The following is a 23,917-nucleotide window of genomic DNA, read 5'->3' on the forward strand; positions in this document are numbered from 1 at the left end:
TCAGGGAACATTTATTCTAGCAGGAAAAGAAAGAGAAAAAATTAAGTCAATATATAGCATAATATAAGAAATGGCAGAAGACAAGCATTACGAAGAAAAAAAAAAACACGCAATAGGGAATATAATGCTAGAATGTAATTATTTATAGGGTGGTTGGTCAGGTAGGCCTGACTGAGAAGTTGACATTTAAGAAGAAATGAATGTTCCAGGCAGAAGGAATAAATGGTGCAAAGAATCAGGTGGCAATGGGCCTGGCATATCTGAGGAAAAAGAGGGTCAGTGTGACTGGAGAGGAGGGAGGAAAGCAGACAACAGCGTAAGATGAAGTCAGACAGGTAAGGGGTTGGGGACGCACATCATGGAGGGTTTTAGAGAACACTATAAAGATTAAGTCACCGGAAGGCACTGGGTAGTCTGGTTGCCATGTAGAGCAGGGGCTGGCAGACCACAGCCCACTGCCTGTTTTTATAAGTAAAGCTGTATTGGAATGCAACCACATTCATTCAATTACATATTCTCTATGGCTGCTTTTGTGCCCCAACTCCGGTCTAGCAGCTATGACAGAGACCGTGCAGGCCACAAAACCTAAATTTTTTACCATCTGGCCCTTGACATAAAAAGTCTGCCAAGTCCTGATGTGCAAAATAGACTGAAGGCTGGCAAGAGTGGAAGGCAGAAGAGTAGTTAGAAGGCTACCGCATAAATCAGGTGTGGTACAACGATCACTTGGACCACAGTGGTAGCAATGGAGGTGGTAAGAAGTGCTGGGATACTCATACTATCTTAAAGGCAGAATAAAGCAAGATGTCCAGAAAGACTGGTATGAGATATAAAAGAAGATGACTCTAAGGTTTTGGTTTAAGCAATAGGGAAAATGTAATTACCATAAACAGATGAAGACAGCATATGGTGCAGCCTGAGTCTGGACAATGGGAGAGATCAGGAGTTCAGTTTTGAACATGTTCAGTTAGGGTATGTGTAAGGCATAGTGCTAGGAAGTGTGAGTAGAACAGAGAGGAAAACTGATCATTCCAACACAGATGACAATTAAAATGACCAGTCCATGCGCTGACTACTTCACTGGGGAGAAGGTTGGGATCAGGAAGGACTATCTGAAAAATGAGTTTTGAAAGAGTATGAATTAGCCAGGTAAGGAAGGAGAGGGGGCATATTCCAGGAAGAGAAAAGGTCATGGTGTGTGTGTAGACACATGCTGTGTAAACTGCAAACAAGGGTGAACCTGACGTGTGAGTCAAGGAATGTGACAGGTAAGGCTGGACATAGCTCTGGCCCCTTCCCAAAAGCTTAGTAAGCCCCAATGATGAACTTGGGTTTTAGTGGGTAACAGGGAGCCACTGAAGAGGTTTAAACAAAGAAGTGACACATTCAGACTAGAGGTTTTCATTCACTTCGGTAGGTGACTGAGTGGCACCATTTTTGTAGTACAGCTATAAAGCAGTAAGTTGCTAAGACTGGCCAGAAAACATGTAAATCAGGCTCTTAAGAATTCAGTAACTGCAATAAAAAGGAGCTGATTTTTTTCTTTTTCTATTTTTGTTTTCCTGAGACACGGTCTTGCTCTGTTGCTGGAGTGCAGTGGCGTGATCATGGCTCAATGCAGCCTCAGCCTCCTGGGCTCCTGCCTCAGCCTCCTGAGTAGACTAGCTAATTTTTAAATTTTTTATAGAGACAGGGTCTTACTTACTATGTTGCCCAGCTGGCCTCGGACTTCTGGACTCAAGTGATCTGCCTGCCTTGGCCTCCCAAAGTGCTGGAATTACAGGCACGAACCACCATGCCCGGCTGGTTTTTTTTTTCAATAATAGCGTAACTCCCTTTGTAGGCAGATAACCAAACACTTCTGAAAAGTTTTTTTGTGGCATGATGGACAAAGATTCAAGTCACAACTTTCATCAGAGTACAAGTTCTATTTGTATAGAACTCTAGTTCACAGCATTTACAAATAATTATCTCATTTCAATTCTGCAACAACTCCATGAGGTATTCAGAGAAATGACTATCTCCATTTTACAAATAATTTTATCTAGTCTTGTTTTAAGAGCTGAAGTGTTTAATCTTTGCATCCATACCACTGCGGGAGAGTGTGGTTAATGTAAGGACAAGATCCAGTCTTAGAAAATAATGATGAGTCTGTTTCATCTAACATTAACCTCATTCTACTTTTATCACTTTGAATTAGTTTAATGTTATTTGTTTTTTCACATCATTCTTAGAAAAGTTACTTAATTATTTATATATTGCCACACCTAAACACACTCATTTTTTTTTCTGGGTTTCCCCAACCAGACTGTAGACTCCAACAGAGGATGAACCAGCTCTTATTTATTCTTGTACTCCTAGTGCCAAACACAGGCACTCAAATATCTACTGAATAAATCAATTAATGATTTACCTTGAGAGAACAGAGATGATAGATTAGACAGATAAAGAAGAGTAACATAAACATCTTTAATACAATTTTAAAACAGAAGGTGGGTTTTACCATCCATTGCTAAAGATTGATAGAAGTACTGCTAGCTTGTAAAAATATATATACATATATTTTAGACACAAGGTCTCATTCTGTCACTTAGGCTAGGGCGCAGTGGCTTGGATCATAGCTCACTACAACCTCAAACTCCTGAGTGGGAGTAATCCTCCTGCCTCAGCCTCCTGAACAGCTCTACAGGTGTGCACCATCACACCCAGCTAATTTTTTAAAATGTTTTGTACAGATGAGGTCTCGCTATGTTGCCCAGGGTGGTCTCAAACTCCTGGCCTCACGCAATCCTCCTGCCTCAGCCTCCCAAAGCACTGAGACTACAGGTGTGAGCCCCTGTGGCTAGTCAAAAAAAAAAAAATTGAAGTTTGACAACTTGCCATTTGCATGAGATGTCAAAATAACACCGGCATGCTATATATGTATACACACACACACACACACACCCCCCTAATTAAATAAAGACAGAATACTAAATTATGCCTACAGATGGTTTTCATTCAGTACCATGTGTTTTTATTTTGGCCCTAGATGCAACCTATTTTTTTAATTTTTTTTTTTTTTTTTGTGACGGCGTCTCGCTCTGTCGCCCAGGCTGGAGTGCAGTGGCTTGATCTCGGCTCACTGCAAGCTCCACCTCCCGGGTTCATGCCATTCTCCTGCCTCAGCCTCCCGAGTAGCTGGGACTACAGGTGCCTGCCACCACGTCCGGCTAATTTTTTGTATTTTTAGTAGAGACGGGGTTTCGCCGTGTTAGCCAGGATGGTCTCGATCTCCTGACCTCATGATCTGCCCGCCTCGGCCTCCCAAAGTGCTGGGATTATAGGCGTGAGCCACCACACCCGGCCGCAACTTATTTTTAAGGATGTTTAAGTATACCTAGTGAGTGGTTTAGAAAAACAGACTGAGTACAAGATTTTCATAACAACTATTAAGAAGTCAAGTTCTCTATATCCTTACATCCCATCAATATCTGTCAGGCATACTGTCAGTAACTACCAATATCCAATCTCTCTCTCAAATGCTTGTTCCCACCACCCACCAGAACATCCATCTATACCACTCTTCTGCCTCTCACCTATTCTTCAGTCACCTGTTTCTTTGATCCACAGTTTTCTGGTGGCCCAGGCTTAATCTTTATGTCACAATGTTTGCTGAACCTGTTAAGTGATCTACCCTGCTCATCTGATCAATATCATTGTATGTAAATCTACTGTAGGCAGATCTTTACAGATTGCTATACACTATTACATCTAAATGTCTTGTTGACAAAAGAGGAAGTTTATTTTGGTTGTAGAGGGTGTTAGAACCCAGTGACTCTAAGCAAAGTGATTGATGGGCCATAAAACAAAAATTGAGTACCACTGCTAAAGGATATGACTAATTTAAAGAGAATGTTGCAAGAAGTCTAAGGACAGAGGATGGAGGCCTCACATTTGTAATTAAATTGAGAGAACTGTAAGAAAATTAAGAGGGAAGAACCAACTAGATACATTTTTTAAAATCTTGAAAAATATTCTCACATATGTGGTTGATAAGACGGTGAAATGTGAGCTGGGCAAACTAACATTAATAGTTAGTTTCTCTATGAATCCTACATCCAGGCCTCTCTGCCAGCCTGCCAGGAGGTTCTACTATCTCTAGCCTGTAGCTAGTGTCTGTCTCTGTCTCGCTCTCTGTCTGTCTCAGTCTCACTCTGTCGCCCAGGCTGGAGGGCAGTGGCGTGATCTTGGCTACTGCAACCTCTACCTCCCTGGTTCAAACAATTCCCCTGCCGCAGCCTCCCAAGTAGCTGGGATTACAGGCATGCACCACCATGCCTACCTAATTTTTTGGTTTTTTGTTGTTGTTGTTGTTGTTTTGAGACGGCGTCTCTCTCTGTCGCCCAGGCTGAAGTGCAATGGCGTGATCTCAGCTCACTTCAACCTCCGCCTCCTGAGTTCAAGCGATTCTCCTGCCTCAGCCTCCCAAGCAGCTGGGACTACAGGCGCCCACCACCACGCCCAGCTAATTTTTATATTTTTAATAGAGACAGGATTTCACCATGTTGGCCAGACTGGTCTCAAACTCCCAACCTCAGGCGATCTGCCCACCTCAGCCTCCCAAAATGCTAGGATTACAGGCGTGAGCCACCGCGCCCAGCCTAGCTAGTCTATATTTTTATCAATGATTTTGAGTCACACAAATAAAGGAATCTTATTAATGTAACCTTTCTCAATAGGAAAATATACAGCTCATACAAAGCTGGGAAAAGTAGCCAATATCACAAATAAAAGAAAGAAGATTCAATGTGATCTCAATTGAATCAACATGATGAATTCTAATAAAGTTAAAAATAAATCCTACTTTCAAAATGGCAAAAATCAACCATACTATACAGAAGTAATAACCAGCAGCATTTACTGACAAATTACTATGTGTTAATAACTTTACATTTATTCTTTCACTTAATCTTTACAATCCCTGGAAGGCAGGTTTTATTCTCATCTTGCAGAGTAAACTATAAAATGAGGGTAAGACAGCTTGGCAGAATAGAGATCTTTGAAGCTTGTATCCATTTCTGGGGACACATTAGAGGGCGAACGTTGACAAAATGAAAAAAAATTTTTTTTTAAAGAAAAGTGGCCAAAATAGTGACAGCAATATCCAGCGAGTAACAGTGGCAATAAATGAGTAGGTTTAGCCTGGAGAAGACACATTCCTCATGGACTGTAATCTCTGGAGTACAGGGACCAAGTCAGATAAATATACCACATCTTATGTAGCACCTTCTAGTTTGTAAAACTGCTTTTCACCTTCACAAAAGAGAGCATGAAGTAAAAGGAAGAACACAAAGATTAAGAACAGTGGGGCTCTGACCGGGTGCGGTGGCTCACGCCTGTAATCCCAGCACTTTGGGGGGCCGAGGCAGGCGGGTCACGAGGTCAAGAGATTGAGACCATCCTGCCCAACATGGTGAAACCCCATCTCTACTACAAATACAAAAAATCAGCTGGGTGTGGTGGCAAGCGCCTGTAGCCCCAGCTACTTGGGAGGCTGAGGCAGGAGGATCACTTGAACCCGGGAGGCAGAGGTTGCAGTGAACTGAGATAGCGCCACTGTACTCCAGCCTGGCAATACAGCAAGATGCTCTCTGAAAACAAACAAACAAACAAACAACAACAACAACAAAAGAACAGTGGGACTCTGAAGCCAGATTTCCTGCACATGAAGCACACGACTCTGCCACTTACTGACTGTGTTACTTTGGGCAAATTATTCAACTTCTCTGTACCTAACTACCCTTGTCTGTTAAGTGAAAATAACAATAGTATACCACATGCAAAGCTAATAAACTAGTACATAAAAATGCTTAAAACAGTGTCTGGTGCACTTTTTAAAAATAATGTGTATGGTAGGTATGACTAATGGCTGTGGACCTTGGGGAAGTCCCAAGCCTTCAGCGCTGTTTCCTCACTTGAAAAATTAGGGTATCACTATCTACCTCACAGGGGTATGAATCAAATAAGACAATACAGGAAAATGTTCCATAAGTCTTAATTCCTTCCTTCTTTCATAAACTCTAAGAGAGTCTACTATGTGCCACGTACTATGCTAAGTTTAATCTTTATAGTCTCAATCCTCACCACAACTGTGTAAATGTCTACTACTATTATTCTCATTTTGTAGACAAAGAAATGCGGCTTAGAATGGCTAACTTAACTGAGGTCATGCTCCTAAGTGGTCAGATAGACTGTGAACCCAAGGTTGTTGGACTCTATATTCCAGTTTTGGGCCTCCATATATGCACATTCCCTCATGTACACATCTTTGCAGCTAACCACATGCCTAGTAAAATGCCTGATAGATTGAAGCGATTCAATAAATGTTCCTTTAATCAAATAAATGAATGTTGTCTGTCTTCAAGTTGCTAATACCGTTTTGAGGAAAGAAGAGCATAAGGCAGCACAGGCAGAAATGCCTGTCCTTGCTCCACTACTTCTAAATGATGGTGAGATCTTAGACGCTATCATTTGGGCCTGGATTATCTTTACTATTATTAATTTTTTTTTTTTTTAAGAGACAAGGTCTCTGTCCCCCAGGCTGGAGATCAGTGGCGTGATCATAGCTCACCGCAACGTCAAACTCCTGAGCTCAAGCAATACTCCTGCCCCAGTCTCCTGAGTAGCTGGGACTACAGACGCAAGCCACCATGCCCGGCTAGTGTGCGTGTAGACAGGAACTGATTCACCACGACCGACGCGTGTGTGTGTGAGACAGGGAACTCATTCTGTTTTTTTTTTGTGTGTGTGTGTGTGTGTGTGTGTGTGTGTGTGTGTGTGTGAGACAGGGAACTCATTCTGTTGCCCAGGCTGGTCTCAAACTCATGGGCTCAAGTGATCCTCCCATCTTGGCCTCCCCAAGTCCTGGGATTACAGGTGTGAGCCACCATGCCCAGCTGGTATATCTTTAAAATAAGGAACCTGGACTATGCTATCTTCCAATCTAGCTCTAAGACTATACATCCATAAGGCAGTGCTTCTGATCTAGCAGAGATTTAAAATAAAAACACTAGAATTTTAAAAGTGGAAAAGATCATAAAGGTCTGGCCCAAACTCTTTAGAGAGGGGAATCCCAAAGGACAAAAAGGGGTCTCCTGATTTCCAATCCTGCACTGCTTCCTTTATGACGACACAGATCAGACATTTCAGACAGGATTAAAAAAATATAATTGGCACCGCAGAGCCCCAAATCATGAAAACCAAAATAAAATGGTACTCGGTAACTTTTATTAGTCTAAAAACTCAAACTCTGTTACAAAACATATGGTTTTAATGCTTAAAATACGCATCTTAAAAATAAGAGCACATGAGACTATCTTTTTATTTTTGTGAATAACCAATTTGAATAAGTAAACAGGACAACCTCAGAATAAATTATTTTGAAAATACAAGCCTTAAAAACACACTATTAGCTTTTTATAAAAAAGCGTTTATAGAAATACTAGATAAGATTTTGAAACTATTATTACAAAGACTAAACAAAGATTAACAAAAATATTTCCATAATCTCTACAGATATACTAAAAATGAAATAATCCAACTAGAATTTTACATATTCAAGTATGGTATAAGAAGTTTAAAAAAACAAAAGAGTTCTAGGACCAGAGTGGCTAAACATAAAAAGCCACTTATAAGATTAAAATATAAAGCACAGGCTGGGCGCGGTGGCTCACGCCTGTAATCCCAGCGCTTTGGGAGGCCTAGGCGGGCGGATCACGAGGTCAGGAGATCAAGACCATCCTGGCTAACATGGTGAAACTCCGTCTCTACTAAAAATACAAAAAATTAGCCGGATGTGGTGGTGGGCGCCTGTAGTCCCAGCTACTTGGGAGGCTGAGGCAGGAGAATGGCGTGAACCTGGGAGGTGGAGCTTGCAGTTAGCCGAGATCGCGCCACTGCACTCCAGCCTGGGCGACAGAGCGAGACTCTGTCTCAAAAAATAAAATAAAATAAAATAAAAATAAATAAAGCACAAAACATTTTAAGAGAAAAACTAAGAACTTAATTTTAAAAATTTTCCACTATAATACTTAAAGTAAATGCTATTTAAGTCATATTAACAATTATTTATTAAGCATACTATGTAGAAAAATTGGTGGCCCAGGTCTGTCTGATTCACTATATGCTGTCAACCAGTGTAACTAGACAAAATGTGAAAACTACAATGAGAAAATTACAAGTAAAATGTTATGGTGGTAATAGAGAGGGTGAGGTATGGAGCTGTCCAGCCTGAATTCAAATCTCAGCTCTACCACTTCCTAGCTGTATTTGGAAATAATGACAGTATACACTTCAAAAACCTATGGTGAGGATAAACAATAGAATACATGTAAAAGACTAGCATAGCACCTGGTACCTAGTAAGCATCTAACAAATGTCACTTATTTTCATCATTACTGACAGTCTCATAATCTTTATCTTCATCCTCAAGCAGTCACAGGTGAGATTTTTCATCCCTGTCCACGTGTGGACAAGCAGCTTTTGTTTGCCTGGCATCCATTCCCCTTCTTCTCTTTCCAGGTGCCTCATTTACTTGGGAAAGCCTGACCTGTAGTCCTCAGTTCTCACCCCTAGGTGAGGTTCACTCTCTACCCTCCAGGGTGGACATGTGGCTCAAGCCTGGCCAGAAGTTGGTTCAGAAATGGGCAAAGGGCCTAAGCCAATCAGAGGCAACTCCAGGATTTTTGTCAAAGCCCTTGGTAAAGAGCAGCTCTCTTTCTGTATGTATCTCCATGATGTAATGCTGAAACTATTAGGGCCATCTTGTTGTCATATCAGGGAGCTTACAAGAGAATAACTAATATAGAAAAGAAAAGCTGAGAGATCAAGTTTTGATAATATTGTTTGAGCCCTTGGTTCCAACTCTGCCAGTCAATCAGCAGACCCATAGGTAAGGACCAATACATTTTGTTCTGGTTTGCTTAAGCTCATTTGAAAGATTTTTGTTTTGTTTCGGTTATTTGCATCTGAGAAGCTCTATAACACGTCAGGTATCAATCAAGAGCCAGAAGCTGGTGACCTAAAATATAGTAGAGCTTAGAAGGGCATGGATTTGGAATCGGAGAGATCTAGTTCCTAATCTTGTTTCTAACAATTACTAGCTGCGTGGCCCTGGGCATGTGTCTAATCCTACTTCTTCATCTGTAAAATGGCTTAATACCTGCCTCAAAGGGTTGATGAGAGGATAAATGACAATATAAACTGCTCAGTCTTCTTCATAACAATGAACAATCAATAGAGGCTATTATTATATCACTGAATCCCAAGCTGATCTTTGTATCTGACCTCTTATATTCCATGTCCCTGTTTCCAGTGGTATAAACAGCCATCTTTACCTACATACTCTCCTATCCAACCTCAAATTCAACATTTCCAAATCTCATCCTGCCTCCATGCTTCCTCATCACACCCTCTGCCTTTCCCTTTCAGAAAAAAAAATGCTCACTGGAGGCCAATTTATCATCAATTATTAACTATGTTCCCAGTAGGTTTTAATATCAGAACAGTAGGAGTCATCCTAGACTGAAACTTCTTTCCTGTTATCTAATCAGTCACAAAGCCCTGTTAAATATCTGCAGCCTGACAGGAAAGAATTTTCCTCTCCCTGTGGATAAAAACAAGGGCAGGATTCTTCCAACTTCAGGATATGTAGCCTTTTCATTGGCTTGCAAGGAGAACTCCAATCCTTCTACTCCTTTTTCTCATCTCATCCTCCTTGTGGCTTCATTTCTTTTCATATTCAGGATAGATTTTTGCTAGCTTATTTTTTCATTAACCTCAAGCTGCAAATCAACAAACGTAGACTAATCCAATTTATTGCAGTTCCCACACCCAAGCTACTAGCACCACTGGAAAAAGTTATAATTATGCAGATTGACACCACTAAAAGTTGTCTCTGACCTCACCTGGACCTTCAGAACTCCTTGGCAATTTCTGTATTTCTGGTCAGGTTTGTTGATGTTCCTCAAAATGGTTATTTCAAATCTCCATTGCTCACCTCTCTCAGCCATTATTTTAGTCCCAATTTTCCTTTTTTTTTTTTTTGAGACGGAGTCTCGCTCTGTTGCCCAGGTTGGAGTGCAGTGGCGCAATCTCGGCTCACTGCAAGCTCCACCTCCCAGGTTCACGCCATTCTCCTGCCTCAGCCTCCCGAGTAGCTGGGACTACAGGCGCCCGCCACCACGCCCGACTAATTTTTTTTTTTTTTTTTGTATTTTTAGTAGAGACGGGGTTTCACCGTGTTAGCCAGGATGGTCTCGATTTCCTGACCTCATAATCCACCTGCCTCAGCCTCCCCAAGTGCTGGGATTACATGCATAAGCCACCACGCCTGGCCAGTCCCAATTTTCTTATTCACTAGATGGAGATATTTTCTATGTACTTACCTGAGATAATTAAGGCAAACAAGCAAAAACTTCCTCAACTTTTCACCCCCAGATTTCTAAATTTATCTAAATAAATAACCCTTGTCATCTCATTTCCCTCAATCAGAATGGCTAGGATGCGGGAAAGTACACAATATAGTGATGGAATAAATAAAAGGAAGAGACATTCTTTCTCCTATATAAGGCCAATCCTGCCTCCTATAGTGCCTCTGAAATTTTAATATGCATACAAATCACCTAGGGATAGTGTTAAAATGCATATTCTGATTCAGGAGGTCTGGAGTGGGGAATAACGTTCTTCATGTCTTCCAACAAACCAGTGTTGGTTTGGGAGCAATATTTAGAGAAAACAGATTCCATCCTTTCTCACCTCCTCAGAGATCTTTTACTCTAAGTCAACATTTGTTGCTTCTTTATCAGCTGCTCCCTCCCCCAACATACAACATATCTGTCTCTTTTATTTTAAAATAAATGCTCCTTTGTTCCTCTTTTAGCTACCGCCCAATCATCTAGGCTCTCTTTGGCTCCACAGACAAGTTTCTATGAAGAAGTCCTATGTCAACGGTTCCAAACTTTCTTGGCTCAAAGAATCTTTAGTGTCTCAGTGATCTTGCAGGGTAAACCTCGGCCAAAAGAAGTATCTAACAACTGTAGTTGCCTCCGTTAAGCAGTAAGAGCCAAACCACTTAGTAAGTATTTTAAGTTCTAAAAACTGGATGCCTGTTGGGCACTGCATACTTTTCAAACTCTGGACTCAGATTGAACACTGACAGCCTCATTTCCTGTTCCACACTGATTTTCAGGCAGTACTTGCTTTTTATCAGAGCAAGCACTGAAAATCCAGCTTCCCAAAGGTATGACATCACTGAAAGGAATGCAGTGATCTAATACAGCAATCTAATGACGCCAGTGTATTTCCCTTGAAATTTAAAAATATTCCATGGCACCCTTGCAAGTTAGCTACAGTGCTCTGGGATACATCGATGAACAATTTGGGATACTGAGTTCAGGTGGCTGTCAGAACGGCAGCATCCCCATTGCTTGGGAGGTTGTTGGAAATGTAGAATCTGGGCATCCATGCCAGACCTACTGATTCAGAATCTCCACTTTAACAAGATCTCCAAGTGATCTCCCAGTGACTCATAGACACATTAATGTAGACCAGAAGTGCTGGTCTAAGGTCCCTGCTTACGTTTTCTCACATACCACTCACACCCAACGCACCGCTTTCTGACTTTGCTCCCACAACTCCAGTGAAATTACCCCAGGAAAAGTCCCAAATTACCCCACTCCTTTAAAAAGAAAAAAAAAAAAGGCAATAAATGTCTTTTAGTTCCAATCCTAATTAACCCTCTCTATAGTGTTTGGTACTATTCATCTTCTTGAACCTCTATTATTTCTTGGTCTCTAAAACACCCCCGTCTTCTGGTTTTCTTCCTTTTCTTTCAATACACATCCCCACCCCCTTCCTCTACTGACCCAGGCAGTTTTTGTTTTTTCCTCACTGGCTTCTTTTTTTTTTTTTCTTTTTTGAGATTGGGGAGTCTCGCTCTGTTGCCAGGCTGGAATGCAGTGGCAGGATCTCGGCTCACTGCAACCTCTGCCTCCTAGGTTCAAGCGATTCTCCTGCCTCAGCCTCCCAAGCAGCTGGGACCACAGGCACGCGCCACCAAGCCCAGCTAATTTTTGTACTTTTAGTAGAGACGGGGTTTCACCATGTTGGCCAGGATGGTCTCGATCTTTTGGCCTTGAGATCCACCTCCCTCAGCCTCCCAAAGTGCTGGGATTACAGGTGTGAGCCACCGAGCCCGGCCCCTCATTGGCTTCTGTCATGAGCAAATACCCTTGCTATAGACAACTTTTCCTCTGGAGAATTACATTCAATCTCATGCCCACCCCAGTAAGTCGAGGTTGCTCTCCAGAGCCTTAAGTCATATAAAACCAATTTCCATCTGGATGTCCACAAGCAAAGCAAACTTAACAGTTCCAAAGCAATTTATTTGTCTGTCTTCCCTGGCCTTCACATTACTCTTCTTCATGTATTATTTCCTTTACTGAGTGGCATCCTTGTTCAACCAGTCTCCCTACGGAAACTTAGAACTATCATCCTTGACTCATCCTTCTCCATTTCCCTTGCCCTACACAATCAATCAAATCAAACCTTCTTGCTATGTCTCTAATCTGTATAACTCTCTCTACCTCCAATACCTACATCTTAAAAGAAGCTCTTATCTTTTGCTTCAATTCCTGTTAACAGTCTTCTTATCTATCTCCCTCCCTCCAGAATTGCCATGCCCTTCTCCAAACTATTCTCCACACTCCATTCAAGTTAGTTTTCTAAAATTAAAATCTGATGTCACTGCCCTCCTCTAAATCCTTCCATAGCTCCCAATGCCTAGCAGTGCTTCTCAAGCTTATCCAACAAATGGCAGAAGAGTTTGTAGTTACAGATCTAAGAGGTTCGCTACAAACAAGACATTTCTTGCAAGGCTGTTTCATTTTAAATAGTCATCTTGATTTTATATTCTATTCCTTGGGTGGCCACTTATGTTATTAAAAGAATGTTTTAAATCAATATAAATCAAACTACTTAACTTTTTCTCCACAATAACTGAGTAAAATTACGTTCAAGGAAGACACACTGGTTACCTGTGGCTTCAAATATCCCTTGGCACAATGCCACTAGACCAGGGATTGACAAACTATAGCCTGCAGGCCAAATATGGCCTACCACTGATTTTTGTAAATAAAATTTTACTGGAACACAGTCAAGCTCAATCTACTGTCTATGGCTACTTTCAAATTACAATAGCAGAGTTGAGTAGTTGCAACAGAGACCATGTAGCCCACAGCCTAAAATATTTATGATCTGGCCCTTTGGGAGTCACCTGACCCCTGCATCAAAACATGAGGATTGTTAAGGCTAGAACTGTGTTTTGTCTTTATGTCTTCAGCACAGTTCTACAGAAGGTATTCAAAAATATTTAACTTAATAAATTAGAATGTTGCAAGAAGATCTCCAAGGGCACATAAGGAAAGTGTCCACAAAGCTGATACAGAATGCACCTAAACCCTAAGGAGAAATATACAGGGGCCAAATAGAAATGTTCCTTCATCAGTCAGTGAAATCTGAAAGGCTGAGATAAGACAGATGAAATGGAATACTACTACACAGAGGTCAAAGCAGGTTCTGAAGAAACTGATAAGCCCATCAGACCTAAAGCTACCTCCCCAAAGAACCACAGTATATAGGACTGTATTGATAACACATGCACCTAGTAGCATCTAAGAAAGAGTCAGGAACTACTATTCAGGGCAAATGCTATGAGAATTATTTCTGGAATCTTTGTAATTGCATAATTTGTACTTCTCCAAATGATGAGAACCAAAACACTTAAAACCGAAATATTTTAGATGACAGTAGGAAAATAGGGAGCTAAAAGTTCATTCTACCTTGCAGTCAATATCTCAAAAAGATAATTAGTTCAAGAAATACTAGAAGGAATGGTAATTTAAAAGGAAAGAAAGAAAGAAAGGTAGGAAGGGAAGGGTCAGCAAACTATGGCCTGTGGGCCAAGTCTAGTCCAACATCTTTTTCTTTTTTTTAAAGAGATGGGGGTCACATTATGTTGTCCAGGCTGGCTTTGAACTCCTGGGATAAAGCAATTCTTCTGCCTCAGCCTCCCAAGTAGCTGGGACTATAGGTGCATACCACCATGCCCAGACCACCACCCATTTTTGTAAATAAAGTTTTATTGGAACACAGTCACACTTACGTGGTCACGTATTTCTATGGCTGCTTTCCTGTTACAACAGCAGAGTTAAACAGTTGCAACAAGGACGGCAAGGCTCACAAAGCCCAAACTATCTACTATTTGACTCTTTGGGGTAAAGAATCTCCTAATATCCACTCTGGGAAGATGGATCTGATAAGAGAGAAAGATGAATGTAAAGAACAGATTGGGGAAAACAAAGAATAATGGAGGTAGGGAGATGACATTCACGGCTACTGGGGGAAAAAATACACACACGATAAAGTGAGGGTTTAACTATAGTAGTGAGAACTGAAGCAAAAGATGGATATTTGAGCCTTGGTGTGAGAACGCAGAGAGGAACCAGAAACAGACTCAAAGACAATGAATGAATCAATTCAATGCTAAGGTACCATGCCTAAAAGGAGATCAAGAACATGAGTAAAAATATGGAACACATGATAAACAGCAGGTTTCAGAAGGAAGATAATAGGGTAGGATTAGTCTGATATTAAGTGTGAAAACTCTAAAATGCCAATAAGACATACAGAAAACATTTAATGGCAGTTTGAAATACACCTTAACAGTGCAAGAAGGAAATCTAACTAGAGAAATAGAGTTAGGCATCAACAGTTCAGTGACGGTATCTGAAGATACAGAAGTGGATGAGATCAATAAGCTAGAAAAGACAGCAGGAGCAGCAGATCCCATTACTCAGCAACTACAGTGTTTCAGACCCTATACTGGGCACTTTATATTATCTCTAATCCTCCCAACAATCCTGCTATAAAGGAATTACCCCTATTTTACAGATTAGAAATCTAAGTTTGGAAAGGATTGAGGAAATTTAAAATTCCAAGGTCATACAGCTAATATGTGGCAGGGGTAGAATTCAAACCCCAGTCTACCTGACAGGCCTATAATCCTTATTACATATAGAGAAGAATGTTGACACCAAAACCAGAGAGAAATACTATTTATAGTTAGTGAGAAGAAAGGAAACCAGCAAAGAAGGAATGGTTCAAGAGATCACAGAAAGCCATGGCAGTACAGTATCATGTAAGCCAACAGAGGAGAATAAAGCCAACAGGGGAGAGGCGAGTAGAAGCAGGTGGTAATTTTAATGGCTATGTGCCAGGTACAGTGCTTTACATATATTAGCTCATTTACTTCTCTCAATAATCATGACATAAGTACTATTACTATCCCATGAAATAAATATGAGAAGGCAGATAACTTGCTAGCATCATACAACCAGCCAATGGCAGAGCTGGGTTTTAAATCTAGGCAACCCCCCTTTGCATCCTACATTCTTGACCAATATATACCACGCTACCTGTGGGCACTACGAAATGGTTAAGGAGAAAAACACAGGAGAGGGAAAAGGGCAGACCCTTTTACAAGGGGAATAACAACTTTCAAAAGTTTAGTTTTAGAACATCACTTGAAGGCACATGTCATAAAGAAGTTAACAAACAAGCAACTATCACATAAAGACAGATAGTATCATCTACTTTTAGAAGCCTTGGGGAAAAAGGTAAGAGAATATTAATCTATAGGGTTAAAACTATCAAGAAAATATAAACCAATTTGGGGTATTAGAAGGCCTTTTTGCTTTGCAAGCTTATAGGTTGTGAGAGGTGTATATAAGACTTAATAAATGTCCTTTGGGTATCTGAGATATAGGATGTAACTTTTTAGTATCCTTTAACAATGGAGAGTATGCCCTACACAAGAATTCTCAGACCCAAATGTGAATTAGAATCTCCAGGAAATTGTCTTTAAATTTTTTATTTTCGTGGGAAAATAGTAGGTATATATATATTTTCTCCATGGAATTTTAAGGAGCTATGAGTCTTCACCTCAGATTCAGAATCTCTGATTCAGAAGATCTGTAGTGGGGCCCTGGCATTAATGTGATCTTGATCCAAAACTTATATACTTACAGAAACTATGACACCCTCTGCATACATTGCCTGAGTTACTTGAAAACAGTATCTTAGTAAATGTTTAAGGTTAATATGAACTTTACTACTTGACCAATACCATATGTTATGATTTACATGAAAAAACTAACCTGCTCAAAAGATTTGTATACGATATCTGAATACTATCAAAATAATGTTCCTTTGAGTGAATGGCTGGGTTTTTCCTTGAGTGTGAGTTTGTACCTGTTGAAATTAAACAACATTCCAATGGTGCATTTCTGAAATTACTTCAATAAGGGAAAGACTCATTTAATAAATATTTGGCTCATCCTAACCTTTTAAAATTGAGAGGCCATGTCTGGTGGCTCACGCCTGTAATCCCAGCACTTTGGGAAGCTGAGGCGGGTAGATTGCTTGAGGTCAGGAGTTCAAGACCAGCCTGGGCAACATGGTGAAACCCCATCTCTACAAATAATACAAAAATTAGCCAGGCATGCTGGTGCACATCTGGATTCACAGCTACTCAGGAGCTGAGATGGGAGGATCATTTCAGCCCAGAAGGTGGAAGTTGCAATGAGCTAAGAGATCGAGCCTCTGCACTCCAGCCTGGGCAACAGAGTGAGACCCTATCTCAAAATAAACAAATAAATAAACAAGAAATTTCTGTAATGCATACAGTGAGATCAAGTAGGAGACCTGAAAATAAATACAACACCCCTCAAAAGATGCATAGAAACTTAACTTCACATGTCTTAGCTAGGAAGTTAAGCTCTAGAATCAAACTATCCTGGTTTACCTAACTTTCTAGCTGTGTGATTTGGAACAAGTTTTTAAATCTCTCTGTGCCTCAGTTACCTCAATTATAGAATGAGGAAAATAGTAATGACCTGCACCTCATATGGTTGCTATGATAATTAAATGAGGTAATCTGGGTAGAAAGAGCACCTAATAGTGCTTGGTACACAATAAGCATTCAATAAATGTTGGCAATATAAGCAAATAAAAATGTTCACTAGCCCAGCAATTATAGTCTAGAAATTTTTCTTACAAAAACCTTGTTAAAATGTACAGAGATACATCTTTAAGAATATCTAATGCATTGTTGGCATCAGATTATTTGTGACAGAAAAAAATTACAAATAGTACAAACTTCAACCATGAAGAGCTAAATAATTTATGTTACAATTTTTAACTCAGCATGATGTTTCTGAGATTCATCTGAAGTTGCTGCATAAAAGACTAGTTCACTTCATTTTACTGCTAAATAGTATCTCATTGTATGATGAAGCACACTCTGTTTACTCACCAGATGATGGACATTTGGGTTGTTTCCTATTTTTGGTGATAATGAATAAAAATATTCAAGTCTTTGTATGAACGTGTTTTCACTTCTCTTGATAGATACTTAGGAGTGGAATTCCTGGGTCATATGATAAATTTATACTTAACTTTATGAGAAATGGCTAACCCGTTTTCCAAAGTGGCTGTACCATTTTGTATTTCCACAAGTAATGAATGTATGAGGATTGCACATGTTCCATGTCCTTGCCAAAACTTGGTATCATCAATATATTTAATTTTAGCCATTCTAGTGTATGTATAGTGGCATCTCATTGTGGTTTTAATTTTTAATTTTTCTGGTAACCAATGATGTTGAGAATCTTTTCATGCACTTGGCCATTCCTGTATCTTCTTTTGTGAAAAAGCTGTTCAATTTTTCTGCCTATTTTTCTTTTGGGTTGTTTCTCTTCTTCTTATTAATACATTCTTTAGACATTCTGATACAAGTCTTCTGTTGAATATGCTTGTAAATATTTTCTCTCAAAAGGGTTTGTCTTTTCATTTTCTTAATGGTATCTTTGGATAAGCAAAACGTTTTAATGTTGACATGGTCTAATTTATCAGTGTTTTTCTTTTATGGCTCATCTTTTTTATGTCCTAAAAAATATTTGCTTATCTTGAGGTCACAAGGATTTTTCTCTGATGTTTTCTTTTAAAGTTTTATGGATTTAGGTCTTACTTTTTTTTTTTTTTTGAGATGGAGTCTCACTCTGTCACTGAGACTGAAGTGCAGTGGTGCGATCTCAGCTCATTGCAACCTCTGCCTCCCAGGTTCAAGCCATTCTCCTGCTTCACCCTCCCGAGTAGCTGGGATTACAGGTGCACGCCACCACATCCAACTAATTTTTGTATTTTTAGTAGAGACAGGGTTTCACCATGTTGGCCAGGCTGGTCTGGAACCCCTGACCTCAAGTGATCTGCCGGCCTCGGCCTCCCAAAGTTCTGGGATTACAAGCATGAGCCACTGCACACAGCCTAGGTCTTACATTTAGGTCAGTGATCCATTTTGAATTAATTTTTATAAATGGTGGGACATAAGGGTCAAGGTTTATTTTTTCCACATAGATAGCCATGTATTCCAAAACCATTTACAGAAGAAAAAAAAAAGAACAAAAACCTAGCCAGTACTGAATTTCCTTAGTATCTTTATTAAAAAAAAAAAATCAATTGATATTGTTAGTGTAGGTCTATTTCTGAACTCTTCACCCTGTACCATTGCTCTACATCTATTTCTTCTTTGACCCATAGGTTATTTAGAAATTCGCTGTTTAATTTCCACATATGAGATTTTCAAAATTTCATTTTATTACTGATTTCTAATTTAATTTCATAGTGGTTAGAGAATATACTCTGTATGATTTCAATCCTTAAGTTATTAAGACCTGCTTTATGGCCTAGCACCTGTTGTACCTTGGTAAATGTCTCATATGTACTTGCAAATAACGTATTTTATGCTGTTAATGCAAGGAATATTCTACAGATGTCAATCAGGTCAAATTGGTTGATAGTGTTAGAATCTTTTATATCCTTGTTGATTTCCTATTTAAGAATTACTGAGAAAGAAGTATTGAAATTTCCAGCTATAATTGTAATTTGTTGATTGTGCCTTTCATTTCTATCAGATTTTGCTTCATCTACTTTGGAGCACTGTATTATTTTTATAATCAGAAACTATATAAAGTCATAAACAAAGCAGCAGCCTCTTTCCCATGACATGTAAGATTTTTACAGGCTGGGTGCAGTGGCTCATGCTTGCTATCCCAGAACTTTCAGAGGCCAAGGGAGGTGGATCACCTGAGGTTGGGAGTTCAAGACCAGCCTGGCTAACATGGCGAAACCCTGTCTCTACTAAAAATACAAAAATTAGCCAGGCCCAGTGGTGCGTGCCTGTACTTGGCACTCAGCTACTTGGGAGGCTGAGGCAGGAGAATCGCTTGAACCTGGGAAGAGGTGGAGGTTGCAGTGAGCCACTGCACTCCAGCATGGTCAACAGAGCCAGACTCCATCTCAAAAAAAAAAAAAAAAAAAAAAAAAGATTTTTACAGTTAAAATATATATGCAATTCCCAAACTGAAAAGATAACACTACAAGTATTTAAGCTATATTGTTATTAAATTATTCAAAGTATTGTATAATTCAAAGTGTTTACATTTCTACATACCTAGATATTATATATTTCTATAAGAAAAACATAGGTATGAATACATGTTGTTTAACTTCATTTCCTCAATTCCTTATTTTCAAACAATAAGCTTTACTATCTTTGTAAATAACTAATTTTATACAATGTCAACACTAAAAAAGCTACTCCCTATTATAATACATACAGCAGTTCACATCTTAATGGTTTCAAGTTTTGACTGTTAAAAATGTTAAGAATAATTAATTTTAGAAAAAAGTGTGGAACCTACATGAAATTTCTTAAGGACAACACAGGCTGCTTAAAATACACTTTTTACTACGAGCACAATTACTACATGAGCCAAATTTGACAGCACAGACACCAAAGTAATTCTACATATTTTATAATGGCCACTTAAAAGACATTATTAAGGGTAAATAAGCCATAAATACCCCCCATTATTTTAGGAGGAAAATAAATAACTTTTATTATTTTGTTTTTACTGCTACCTATTAAGTTATAGACTATACAGTAAATAAAAGAAATACTAAGCAATATCAACAAACTGTAAAACAAATCAAATATGGGCTTACGTCAGTAAGACCTGTAAAATAAGGCCAGGCACAGTGGCTCATGCCTGTAATCCCAGCTATTCAGGAGGGTGAGGCAGGAGGATTGCTTGAGGTCATGAGTTCAAGACCATCCTGGGCAACATAGCAAGACCCCGTCTCTAAAAAAAAAATTTTTTTTTAAAGAATAAACTCATTTGTGTGTGAGATTTGATCCAATCATTCTAGCTTACCTGCATCCATCACTAGTTTTTAAAATTAATTAACATCTAAGGGTTTCAATTTTTTTAATATAGCTTAAATAATTAAATTCATGATTATAAATAAAATATTGCCACTTGACTTCAATCTGCTAACGGAGAAGGCATGAGGAGAGAAAGATTTTTTAATCAAGGTGTTCCTCAGCTGGAGTTATTTCATTACCCATTAAGTAACACAACTATCTGAAATTCAGTTCAAGATGCCCTTATCAACTGAACACTATTTCCTTTCTCACAGTGCCAAATCTATGTGCCAACTGCCTAAGCAACAATAGATTCGCTTTAATTAAAAATAAGGTTCTGACATCCCAGTAAAACCAAGTCAAGAATTCTGAATCTAAAATTGAATCTGAACTTCTGATGACAATGTTAACCAACACCAAGAACAGAGTTAAGGGCAACTAAGACCAAGTCCTAATCTGAAAAGGCACTGCTGAGAAATAAAACTACTTTTTATTTTATTTATATTTATTATTTTTTTGAGACGGAGTCTTGTTCTGTCGCCCAGGCTGGAGTGCGGTGGCGCTATCTGGCCTCACTGCAAGCTCCGCCTCCCGGGTTCACGCCATTCTCCTGCCTCAGTCTCCTGAGTAGCTGGGACTACAGGCTACAGGTGCCCGCCACCATGCCCGGCTTTTTTTGTATTTTTAGTAGAGACAGGGTTTTACCATGTTAGCCAGGATGGTCTCGATCTCCTGACCTCGTGATCCGCCCACCTCAGCCTCCCAAAGCGCTGGGATTACAGGTGTGAGCCACCATGCCCAGCCAATATAACTACTTTTTTAAAAAGTCTTTTACAAATAATCATCTACTCAACAACTCTTCTGTTAATTAGGTCAGCATTACTCCCATTTCATAGATGGAGAGACTGGCAGAGTTGTTGAGTGCCTTGCTCAGTAGTAGAGAGCCAGATGACAAGAATCCAAGGCAATACTAGCAGGTCCTATTCCCATTCCTGGCTTCTGTCCACAAACATCTTCCCCACCCCACACTACTGTTCTCCCTTTCCCCAGACAATTCTAAGAGGAAGAAACACCAAGAATCTCTAGAGTAGGCACACATTAAAGAAAAAGCTTACAGCTACTATGCAACATCAAAGCATAGTTCCTGAAAATTGTCAATACGAACAAATTATTCTTCCATATTCTGCAGATACTTTCTACCAAAACTATCCAGAGATGTTTCAGATCTAACCATTATAGAAACTATTTTAATATAAAAAAACTAGTATGAATTCTAGTTTCATTTTAGTTAGTAAGCACCCCCCACCCCCCACCCCCACCCAATTCCCCAGCCGCGGAGCACTACTATTACTAAGGCTTTTTTTTTTTTTTTTTTTAATTCAGGTAGGCTGAGGCAGGAGAATGGCATGAACCCGGGAGGCGGAACTTGCAGTGAGCCAAGATTGCACCACTGCAGTCCAGCCTGGGCGACAGAGCCAGAGAGACTCCGTCTCAAAAAAAAAAAAAATTTCAGGTTAATACTACTGAAATGCCAGTTACAAGGAAAAACAAAAATGCAAAACAAACGAGAACAGAGGCAGTGGGAGCAGGGGACAGGACAGGGTTAAAAGGACAAGAGGAAAAAGAGAATCATAAGCCAGTGTTAATTATTAGTGATAAAGACTCTCAGTCTTTTATGGTACAACTGCACATCTAGAATTCTAAAGCAAGAATTAACCTAGCAAATGTGTCTGGAGAGGTATGCCCTCCAGAGAAGACATTATCACTATATGGTAGTTTCCATCCTGGTATATACCGGTTAACTTTGTTTTGTTCTATAGCCAGACTGTATAAGGCATATATCTTCCAGAAGTCCATAGGATATACATACCATTATTTATGGGGGAAAAGAAACTCAAACCATAGTTCTAAAGGCAGGGAGGGAGCAAGAACTGAACACACACAGAAACCTTATTCTACCATAACGTGATATGAAATGCTTAAAAATGTTTAGTTTTGGTATGGTTTTTTGGAACTCTAACGGGGTTTTTAACATAGGGTCTATGGAGGGGCTTTATTACAAGCAGAACATTGTGTGTACTATGTTCATTTTGAGTGTGAGAAAGTGCACCGCTCCCACTAGATTCTGAAAGGGGTCCAGCAGCAAAACAAAGTTGTGAGACGCTAGCTTATATGACCGCCTTGGAAAAAACTTCTAAGCTATCGGAAAAGGGTGTTATTTTATTATCACACATGACCTTTAGCCCAAAATTTCTTTATTCAAGACATTTTATTCCAAAATACTTTGGGTTGTAACCACCCAAAACTACAACCACTCTTTGCACATAAATCATCTGTGGTAAATATTTCTTAGGCTACTTTCCTTACCAACTCTGTAATCAGAGAATAAAAATACATTTTAAGCATCAAAACTAAGCAAAACTGGCAGGTCAAACTGCCATTTTTGTTTTAAGGATAAAAATGTTTGAATGTGTGAGAAAACCAGATTCAAATGACCTTTACACTGCCAGATTTCTATTTATCTACACTCCACCATGGCCCTCTTTTAATCTAGTTAAAGCAACTGCTTCTCCCACGTTGATTAAATCCTTGAATCTAGAAATGTGGTTAAGGCCAAAAGGTTTTCTCATCATAAAAGAAATATTTCTCAACTTAATTAACTCATGCCCTCTTTTGTTAAATACAACTCTTAAACCTCCTTCCACGTAATTGACATTTTGAGTAAATTACAGTTCGAAAACCAAATCAAATCCATGATAATTTTAGAAGCTTAAAATTTTGCTCTTGAAAATTTTACTCTGCACATCAACGTGGTATCAATGTTGAACTTTGCATCTGCTTTCTAGCTACAAGCTTTTTTCTTCTAGGTCTTATAAAAAGGGTATATAAAGAAGTCACTTTCAACATTATGTCTATTATGCTGTTTTGTTTTGAAGGATTCACACACCATTGGTAGGGGTGAGGGACATAAGATATGCAGGCCCTCTCCATTAGATTCATGGATGTGTAAAGTTCTATTGCAGTTCATAACCTCATCAACTGACTTTTGGCCTAAGCAACGTCATAAAACTTCATTTCACCTTTAGAGCAAACCTTTCTCCTAGTACCTGGAGTTAAAAATAGTGCAAGCCATGCTGACCTGGGCTATTTTTATCTGGAAAATAGGGACTAGAAACAGTATAGCAAGCAAAGAAAGGCGAGTTTACCACAACAGGATTAAAACTCTCACACACTTTTTAAAAAGTCCCACTACAGTTTTAGAAATCGGATGGAAAGGTGGTAAAGCAGAGGTGAGGTACAGGGCAGAGGATCAGCTGAGGGCAGTTCACTGAGTGTTAGCAAGATATGACTAATACTGTACGTAACAAGCAATAATAAAAGTCCTCTGCCGAAGACAGAATAGTATAAAACCTTTCCTTCCCCTGCCCTTACAGATTTCTAGAGAAGATAATTTGGGAATAAAAGGTATAAAAGGTTTTTGAGAAAAGAGAGATCAAAGGACATTCAGAGTTCGGGAGGATATCTGGGAAGCAGACTTAGCTTAGATCCTAAAGG

General features: G+C 39.4%; 1 protein-coding gene across 4 annotated transcripts in view, besides 2 other annotated features; it reads right to left on the reverse strand.

Moving 5' to 3' along the window:
- Positions 1–23,917, reverse strand: part of EGLN1 (egl-9 family hypoxia inducible factor 1) — a 58,532-nt gene that overhangs the window by 20,555 nt on the left and 14,060 nt on the right. The window lies entirely within an intron of this gene.
- Positions 9,513–9,807: a silencer, noted in NCBI's record as "tiled region #11665; HepG2 Repressive DNase matched - State 19:H4K20". NCBI's record gives its function as "represses a minimal TATA promoter and a strong SV40 promoter by Sharpr-MPRA in HepG2 cells {active_cell/tissue: HepG2}" and the evidence as "EXISTENCE:reporter gene assay evidence [ECO:0000049][PMID:27701403]".
- Positions 18,358–18,561: a silencer, noted in NCBI's record as "fragment chr1:231538414-231538617 (GRCh37/hg19 assembly coordinates)". NCBI's record gives its function as "represses an EF-1alpha promoter that drives an FKBP-Casp9 reporter gene in an ReSE screen in HepG2 liver carcinoma cells {active_cell/tissue: HepG2}" and the evidence as "EXISTENCE:reporter gene assay evidence [ECO:0000049][PMID:32094911]".

Source organism: Homo sapiens, chromosome 1, assembly GCF_000001405.40.
Source record: "Homo sapiens chromosome 1, GRCh38.p14 Primary Assembly".
Taxonomy (NCBI): Eukaryota; Metazoa; Chordata; class Mammalia; order Primates; family Hominidae; genus Homo; species Homo sapiens.